This window comes from Homo sapiens, chromosome 6 (assembly GCF_000001405.40).
Source record: "Homo sapiens chromosome 6, GRCh38.p14 Primary Assembly".
Lineage (NCBI taxonomy): Eukaryota > Metazoa > Chordata > Mammalia > Primates > Hominidae > Homo > Homo sapiens.
This window is the reverse complement of record NC_000006.12, coordinates 120,338,001-120,348,633: the sequence shown is the minus strand read 5'-3', so window position 1 is coordinate 120,348,633 and position 10,633 is coordinate 120,338,001. Positions and strand designations below refer to the sequence as shown.

Here is a 10,633-nt window from a genome sequence, read left to right as displayed (position 1 = left end):
AAAGAAAATAAATAGTATTATTTATTATAATAAGTACAGGTGACAGAATTACATTCAATTACATTAAATGTGGGCCTGTATCTTTTTCTGTAAAATAACTACTTCTTGACATTTTCCCAACTTCAAACAAAATTACTCACATTATAAAGATGGAAAAAGATCAAATAAAACACTACCCATATTGACCTTCATAGCCCCAAGTGTTCTCCCAAATATATATTATATAGTAATTAATTGGCTACTGTAGGATGCCACGTTATGTTTAAAACTCTTGCTTTCATCTCATTTGATCATACTTTCAAACCTTTTCTCACCACACATTTTATACATCCCTCAGGTTAGAGATTTGTGTGAGATCCTAATGAGGATCAGTAAAACCACCCCCAGAAAGCTATTGAATTCAGATATTCTGCTCTTTGAGGATACCCTACGTTTCTGTTCTTTTACGGTTTTGTCTCATGGCTATGCTAGCATCACTCCTACCAGGTCCCAGCTCTCTTTCTTACTCTGCATTTGAAGAATATGAACTTATCACTTGGGTTCTGCATTATTCATGGTTCTCCAGTGAAACACTATGTATATTTCTATACTATATATGTTGTGTGTGTGCACATATATACAAATACACATATACCCATATCTGCTATGCATGTAAATATATACACATTATGAAGAATAATCTGCTTCTGCTTTACTCAGATTCTACTGTGTGTAAATATTAATCACATCTAAAAATATCTTTACAGCAACAACTAGACTTGGATTTGACCAAACACTGGGCACCATAGGCTAGCCAGGATGATATATAAAATTAACCATCACAGGATCCATTACACACACAAAGCCAAATAACATATTTTTTTCAGGTTGTTGGCTTTAATAGCCAAATACAGACGTGTTTCCTCAGAGAAAGCAATATAACACAGACAGGATAACTCTATTAAAAGGGCCAGTGTATGTTAAAACAAAATTCTGATATCTGTAAAAAATAAAGGTAACATATGTTTTATCACCAGGTATGTCAAAGTGTCCATAAAATTAAATTTACTTTTTAGAAAAAAAATCCCATTTTGTTATTAGGACAGAACAAAAAAATAAGAAACAGGTTGTTAGGGACCTGGATCATAGGGAAATTCTGGAATCTAGAAGTCCAGAATAAAGATGTCATCAAAGATATGCTGCTTGTAAAACCTATAGAGGAGAATCCTCCCTTCTGTCTTCTAGCCTCTGGTGGTTTGCTGGAAATCTTTGCCATTCTTTGGCTTGAAGCTGCAGCACTTCAATTTCTGCTCTCATCATGAATTATTCTCCCATCATGTGTCCATGTGTCTTCTCTTCTGACACTATGCATATTGGATTAAGAGGCCACCCTATTCTACTATAACCTCATTATAAATTAACTTATCACATCTACAATGACCATATTTCCAAATAAGTTCACATTCTGATATATATATATGTATACACACACACACACACACACTATATACACACACACACACACACACACACATACATGTATAATGCATACATGCATATACACACAATATCCTACAAGATATGTATTGGTGTCCTAACCTCAAAGGTCACATTGTGATATACGTACCAGATACATATCAGATGTATATATGTGTATGTAAGCATATATACACTATACATTCTTCTCTATATACAGAATATATATGCACATACATATAAAATGCATACATACATATATAGTGTGTATATGTACCAGATACATACATATGTAATGCAAACATATATATGTATTGTGTGTATATGTATGCATGCATTATATATGTATGTTTATATATTATGTATATAGAGAGTAATTATAGTGTGTATATATGCTTACACACACACATACATATATACATGATATGTATCTGGTACGTATATCACAATGGGACCTTCTTTGAGGTTAGAACATCAATACATATCTTGTGGGACACAATTCAGTCCATAACACTTGTCTTTGTTGGAGATCTCTCTAGGTCTCAATTTTATAATCCATAAAATTAAAACTATAAGCAAAATAATTTCTCAGGTAACTTCCAGTAATACCATTCTACTAATTTTAGTTTTATAAATTTTATTTATAACTTTTTAAAAATTTAACAAATATTCATGAAAATTATAATATCCAAAATGCTCAGAATATAAAAATAAGTAACAGTTCTCATAGTCAGTGTCTTCCAGTTCAGAGTGGAAGCTGAAAAGTATATTGTAGTATCGTACCTTCTAATGTATTTCAGGTACCTTGCTGGGTGGAGTGCTAACAAGAGAATGCTTTTTGGAGAAGAGGAGTTCTTCTGAAAGATGAATAGGAGTCTGTGATTGAAGAAAGCAAGTACTGATATTTAAGCACAACCAAGAACTGAGAGACTATTTTCAAAGGCATGAAGGTGCAAGAGAAGATTTTGGACTCAATGAATATCTGGTAGCTTTATATTCACAGGAGCCTCAACCACCAGAAGAGAACTTGAAGAAAATGAGACTAGAACGATAGATTTGGCAAAATTATAAAGAAAAATTAATATAATCCTAAGGAATTTTTACTGCATCTTATAGCCATGGTGAATGTAATGACTAGCATTTAATACACTGTATATTATTGAAATTTATTCCGGCATTAGAGTAGAATATAAGAGATACATTAAGTCATTGTGGAAACAGAAAGACCAACTAAAAAACAAATGATATCATTCAGTCAAAACAAAAACAAAAACAAAAACAAAAAATGTAAGGGCCTAAATATGGCCAGGGCTGAGAGAGTGTGAGTAAGGCAGTAGATGGGGAAGATATACAGTTGCCATAATTTGGTAATAAATTTGGAGGAGGCAGATGCCGATGAAAAAAAGCCAAGGATCTGTCAAGGTATCTGATTAACTTTATAATGGCATTTTTCACAAATTGGAAATACTTGAAAAAATGGACGCTGAAAAACAAAGTTGAGAAGTATAGTTTGGTGAATGATGAGCTGGAAGGGATTTAGGACATCCAAACAGAAATGTCCCATGTACAATTGGATATGTATGGCATTCTGACTGTACTCTAACTGAAGTATAGAGGGAACAAGCTCCTCTGATATGTCCAGGAGCCACAGTGGGCAGAAGCTACATGACTGAATTGGACAAAGCTCATCTTCTCACCATCCATGGGTTTCTATTTCTGATTTCCATAAAAGAGGAGGCTTCTCTTTTGAAAAAGGAACTGGAAACTCAACCTCTTCATTGTGTTCCAAATTATTATACCAGGACTGTTAAGTTCAAGAGCAGGGCTTGGCAATGAGATACTTATAAAACATTTTATCATGTGTACTAGCGGGGTAGCTTGTATACTATAGATAGGAATGAACAGAATGCACTGGTTCTAGACCTAAAAAATCATTGATATAAATAACAAATCTACCTATGGGATATAAATCTATACATGAAATAAGTGAATCTATGAATGGGATGAAATTGCATAGAAACACACACACACAAATGCAGGTTAAAAATGGTGAAAAGTGAGTAAGATCTGTAGCCTAGTTAATCATCATATACCAATGTCAATTTCTTGGTATTGATGTTGTACTGCAACGACATAATGTGTCACACTGGGGAAAATTAGGTGAAGATATACGGAACTCCTATACTATTTTTGTAACTTTCTTTGAATTTATATTTATTTCAAAGTAAAACATCAAAAGAAAATAATTTTGCTTTCTGTACCCCTTCTCTATCCTTCACTGATGACCATTTTGATTGTCTGGCTCAGAAGTGGAGGTTATGACTTGGTCACTGGGTTTTACCCAGAGGAGAAGACAGATTGGTGGATATCTTCACAGAATGTCCAGGTTTCATCAAGTCACAACTGCAAGACTCTAGCTGCAGCAATGTTGGAGATCAAGTCTCCGTGATGACAGGGACAAGTGGCTGCTTCAGAGCCCTATAGTAGTGAAACTTTAAATGCATTTCACCTAGCAAGTTATAGTAGTTAAAGCAGGATTAAGGTTATAATTGTGGTTTTCTTGGGACTTTCTCCTTTACTTTTCTTGCTTCTCTTTAGTCATGCACGGTATAGATTATATGAAAAGAAAATATCTTGGGCCTCCAAAATCACTAAACTAAAGGGAAAATTCAACTGGGAAAGGCATACGGCAAACCTGCCTCCCATTCTGTTGCAAGTTATCCCTCTGTTCACTGAGATAAATGCATATCTGATTGCCTCATTTGGGAAGGCTAATCAGAAACTCAAAATAATGCAACAGTTTGCCTCTCACCTATCTGTGACCAGGAGGCCCCCTCCCTGCTTCCAGCTTCCAGTCTTCCTGCTTTTCCTTCGAGATCTCCCGCCTTTCCAGACCGAACCAATGTACTTCTTACATATATTGATTGATGTCTCATGTCTGTTTAAACAAACAGTTTGGGTATAAACTAAACTGTGCTCTGACCACCTTGGGTACATATTGTCAGGATTTCCTGAGGCTGTATCATGGGCATGCATCCTCAACCTTGGCAAAATAAACTTTCTAAATTAAAGTTTAAATTTTATTAAACTTTAATTTAGAAATAAACTTTCAAAATAACTTTCTAAATTAACTAAGACCTGTCTCAGATTTCCTGGGTCCACAATCAGCAAGATGTTTTATCCCTTGTGTTTCAATATGAAATCATAATGTTGTTGTATAAGGTGCAGGCATGTAAATATCCAGTTTATGGATAGACAATAGTAGCCCAGGAACAACCATTCCAGCAGGCTAGGGGTTGCAGAGTTCTCTGAGTTCTTGATACAGCAGCAGAGAGCAAGGACAAGTGAGACAAATTCTAAGACATAAATAAATCTTTCTGGGCAATCTTAGAGACACAAGAAAGCCGATGGGAGGGAATGTAGGTAAATATGGACTTCCTGTTAACTTGGCAGCTATGGCTTCAGAGTTGTGATTACTTCCAGTTTAAATGGAGAAGAAACTCTGTTTATATCTCAAGCTAAAAAAAAAATAGGTTATACATGTTACAGATATATGTTTTGAGGCGGTAATCACTTATGCCATTTCCAGTCATATCTGAAGAGAGTTACTAGAAAAGTAACCTACCTGAGAGTCAGGCTGCTTTTATTTTCTTATATAATCATAGTACACCTGTTGTTTAAACCTGGAAAAGTTACTTAATCTTTCTATTCCTTAGCTTTCCCATCTGTAATGGAGATTACAGTTGCTAATGGTTGTACAGAGAATCAAGTGAGTTAGCCTATGACAACACTTGGATCATGTAATTAGAAAGCATTATCTTTGTGATCAATGTTTTCTGGTAGTTTCCAGAAAGATGCCTTGCATATATTAAAAGGACATTTGGAATTGCATTTATGTAACTAGTCTAAAATCATATCATGTAAATGCTTATTTCAGTATGTAGCACTCCTACTCTGCAAAAATTCTGTAGTTATTTTTGCTGACATTAGAGCCTTTAATGTTTCAAAATTACATGAATAATCACAGATTTCAAAAGTGTCACTCACAAATAGCAATTTAATGACAACACTGTACTGCTGCAATTCCTTAAATATTTATTGGAGAGTGATTCATCTACATTTTGTGAAGGAAATCTGATTTTCCAAGAAGATACTGACCCCGTAAGAATCTATGAAATTTAGACCAACTCACAGTGTTTATAATTGATTCACCTACTTGTAAGGTCTATCGATTATAAAATGAATGATAATGTTTCACATCTGCTTTCATTTATGACTTAAACTAATCAGGAAACAAATAATAATAACATATGAAAAGTGTAACAGTAAACAAAGTTAGAATTACAGAAAATAAAGAAGGCAGCATGCATTTACCTAAAAGAAACATAAGAAACATGTTCTATAGAAGCAGTCCCCAACCTTTTTGTACCAGGGCCCTATTTTGTGGAAGACAATTTTTCCAGGGACAGTGATGGGATTGAATGGGATGAGACATGGTTTTGGGATGAAACTGTTCCACCTCAGATCATCAGGCATTAGATTCTCATAAGGAGCCCACAATCTAGATCCCTCACTGTGCTGTTCACAACAGGGTTCTCGCTTTTATGAGAATGTAATGCCCAGCTGATCTGACAGGAGGCAAAGCACAGGCAGTAATGCTTGCTCACCCGCAGCTCACCTTCTGTGTGGCCTGGTTCCTAACAGTCTGGGGACTAGTACCAGTCCACAGCCCAGGGGTTGGGGACACCTGTAAAGTACAAGTGATCAACTGGATCAACATTTATAAAATGTAATCACAAAACTCCTTTAGAACTTTTTTGAAAAATATTTGTATTTAATTCAAAATTAAGCTGACACATGACTGTATTGCTTGCCAATTTATCAATTTCTGTATTGATACTTTTCGTGAAAAAAGTTCTTACTCCTACTCAAACAATCTCACATTGGTTTTAAATTATACAATTTAAAGTTATAAGTGGGCTGGGGAGAATGACCTCTCTCTGCTGATGTATAATGTTTGGACTTACTTAATTTTTGGTAATTTCTGAAAAAATTTCAGTGATTTATTAAGTATTTTGTTTCTAACAATTATTGACAATAATACCACATTGTTTTGATGATTGTTACTTTATAATAAAGTTTGAAATCAGGTAATATTCTTGCAATATTGTTCTTATTTTTACAGTTATATTAGTCATTTTTTGTTCTATGCATTTTCATATAAATTTTGAAATCATGTTTACAATTTCTTAATGAAAAATCTTCTGCAGTTTTGATTTGAATGGCTTTGAAAATATAGATAAATTTGAAGTGAATTGACATCCTAGTGATATTATTTTTTCCAACCCATTAACAGGGCATATCACTCCATTAATTTAGAGCTACTTTAAATTTCCCAGCTATCTGTTTTTAGTTTTTAATATACAGGTCTTGAAATTCATCAGATTTATTCTGATTATTTTATATGTGATGCTGCTGTAAAGTTTAACTTCCAGTAGTTTGTTAAATACAATTGATAAACCCTGCATCCATTAGCAGTCATCCTCCCTCCACACATTCCCTCAGCCTTGGCAACCACTAATTTAATTTCTGTCTCTATGGACCCAAGTCTGGAGACATACAACGTGATCTTTTGTATCTCACTTCTTTTACTTAGTATAATTTTCTTAGTTCCTTTGTGCTGCTATAAGAAAGTAATTGAGACTGAGTAATTTATAAACAATATCCATGTATTTCTTGCAGCTCTAGAAGCTAGGAATTCCAAGATGAAGGCTCTGGCAGGTTTGGTGGCAGGTGAAAGTCTAATGTTTACTTTCCAGTTGGTACCTTGTTGCTACATCCTCCAAAAGGGATGAATGCTATGTCCTCACATGGCAGAAGGGATTAAAAAGCAAAAAGAGCCTAGTTAGTTTCCTGGACCAGCCCTTTATAAGGCACTAATGTTAGCTATGAGGGTAGACTCCTTGTGGCCTAATCACCTCCTAACAGCTCCAACTCTTAATACTGTTGCTTGGGGATTAAATTTACAAATGATTTTTGAACTTTGAGGCCGACAGACATTTAAACCATAAAAATAATGCTGTCAAGGCTTATCCATGTGGTAGCATGTTTCAGTACTTTATTCCTTGTATGGTTAAATAATATTCCATTGTTTGGATATTCTAAATTTTGCCTATTCATTTATCCATTGATGTGCTTTTTGGTTGTTTCCACATTTTTGGCTATTGTTGAAAATGATGCTATGAAAATTCATCTACATATTTTTGTGTGAAACGTTTTTAGTTCTATAAGAGGAATTGCTGGGTCTTATAACTCAAAGTTTAACTTTTTTGAGGACCTGCTGAAGTATATTTAAAAGTGGTTTCATCATTTTACATTCCAACCAGTAAAAAAAATATATATATAATATATACGTATATACTTATATGTGTATATATACGTATATATGTATATATGTGTATACGTATATATACGTATATATATGTGTATATATATGTATATATGTATACGTGTATACGTATATATGTATATATTTGAGGGTTATATACATATACATACATATATGTATGTATATGTATATACATATATATGTATATATTTGAGGGTTCCATTTTCTCCACAACCACAATAATGTGTTATTATTTACTTTAAAAATTTACAGCCATCCTAATAGGTGTGAAATGGCATATTATTGTCATTTTTACTGGTATTTCCCTAATGACTAATGACTTTCTGCATCATTTCCTGTGCTTATTGGCCCTTTATACAGTTATTCCTTCTTTGGAGAAATGTCTATTCAAATTCTTTTCTTGTTTATTAATTGGATTATTTGTATTTTTAGTGTTAATTTGAGTTCTTTATATACTACATATAATAGACTGATCAGACATATGATTTGCAAATATTTTCTTGAATTCTCTGAATGAAACAACTTTTCACTTTCATTATAGTATCCTTTGAGGCACAAATATTTTTAATTTTAATGAGGTCAAACTTACCTATTTTTTGTTTGTTTCTGTGTTTTAGGTGTCATATTTAATAAACCATTGCCTAATCCAAGGTCTCAAAGATTTACACTTATATTTTCTTCCAAAAGTTTTATACTTTCAATTCACATTGAGGTCTTTATGCTATTTTTAGTTAATTCTTGTATATGGTGTGAAGGGTTACTACTTCATTTTACCTATGGGTATCTAGAGATTTCAGTATCGTTTGTTGAAAGCAATATTCTTTTCCCATTTTGGCACCATTCTAAAAATCAATTGACAGTAAATAAATTTGTCTGTTTCTGGAGTTCCCATATCATTCTATTAATCTATATGCCTATAATTAAGTCAGTACCACACTGTCTTGATTAGTGGAAGTTTTTAGTAAATTTCAAAATTAGAAACTATGAGTCCTTCAAACTTGTCATTTTTCAACATTGCTTTGGCTGTTTTGGGTCTCGTACATTTCCATATGAAAGTTAGTATTAGTTTTTCCATTTCTGCAAAATATTCACCTGGGATATTGATAGAGATTAGGTTGAATGTATAGAAAAATTTGAGGAGTATTGCCACATATTAACAATATTGAGCCTTTAACCTGAGATTGTTTTTCATTTATTAAGGTCTTCTTTAATTATTTTAATTACTATTTTGTAGTTTTCAGTACACGTCTTCTCCTTTTAAATTTATTCCTAAATATTTTATTTTGCTTGATACTATTGTAAATGGAATTGGTTCTTTAGTTTTATTTTTAGATTGTTCACTGCTAGTGTTTGGAGGTATAGTTGATTTTTGTATATTGAACTTGTATCCTGCAAACTTGCTGAATTAGTTTATTAGAGCTAATGGTTATATGTCTAATAGTGTGTATTGTGTGTTATTTAGAATTTTATGTAAACAAAATTATGTCATCTGAAAATAGAGAGAATTTTACTTCTCCCTTTACTATCTGAATGGCTCTTATTTTTATTAGAACCTAATTGTTTAGGCTAGAACATTATTACAAAATTTTATCAAAGTAGACAGAGAGGACAGCCTTGTCTTGCTCCTGTTCTAAGGGGGAAAACTTTTATTCTTTTATGATTAAATATAATGTTAGCTGAAGGTTTTTGTAAATGTTCTTTATCTGACTGAAGGAGTTGCCTTCTTTCTCTAGTGTTTAATCATGAAAATATCTTAGATTTTGCCAAACATTTTTCATTATCTATTGAGATGATTGCATGAATTGTCCTTTATTCCATTGATATGGTGTATTACATTGATTTTCATCATGTTTAATATGTATAAATCTTGTGTCCTGCAACATTGCCAGACAGACTGGTTAGTTCTAGTAGCTTTAAAATTTTTTATCATATTTTCTATAGAGAAATTATATCATCACTGGAAAGGAGGATTAATACTTCATCCTATTTAATCTAGAATCTTTTTATTTTCTTTACTTGCTGTATTAAATTAGCTAGTACCTCCATAACATGTTAAATAATTGTATTGTCAGTAAGCATTCTTGTCCTATGCCTGCTTCTTGGGAGAAGGATTTAATCTTTCAACACTAAGTAAAAATGCTCTTTATTAAGTTGAATTATTTATTTTTACTCATGGTTTGCATAGTTGCTTTACTAAAAAACTAGAAATGCATGTAAGATGATGTCAAAAGATATGTTCTATATCTATGGAAATAATTACATGACTTTTATATTTTAGTGTGTTAACATGATAAATTATATTGATTGACTTTCAATAGATGTTGTTGTGGATGCAGTGAAAAGGGAACACTTTCACAGTCAGTGGGAATGTAGACTAGTACAACCGCTATAGAAAACATAGTGGAGATTCCTTAAAGAACTAAAAATCCATCTATCATTTGATCCAGCAATCCCAGTACTAGGTATCTACTTATAGGAAAAGAAATCATTATACGAAAAAGATACTTGCACATTCATGTTTATAGAAGTACAATTTGCAATTTCAAATATATAGAACCAGTCTAAATGCCCATCCATCAATGAATGGATAAAGAAAATGTGACATATACACACACACACCATGGAATACCACTCGGCCATAAAAAAGAAACGAAATTATGGCATTCACAGCAACCTGGATGGAATTGGAGACTATTATTCCAAGTGAATTAACTCAAGAATGGAAAACCAAACATTGTATGTTCTCACTCATCTGTGGGAGCTAAGCTA

At 33.0% G+C, this 10,633-nt stretch overlaps 1 annotated feature.

The window, feature by feature from the left end:
• Positions 259–428: an enhancer, noted in NCBI's record as "experimental_88364 CRE fragment used in MPRA reporter constructs". NCBI's record gives its function as "activates a minimal promoter by MPRAs in K562 erythroleukemia cells, with activity observed for both the introgressed and non-introgressed 6:120669437 variant alleles {active_cell/tissue: K562}" and the evidence as "EXISTENCE:reporter gene assay evidence [ECO:0000049][PMID:34662402]".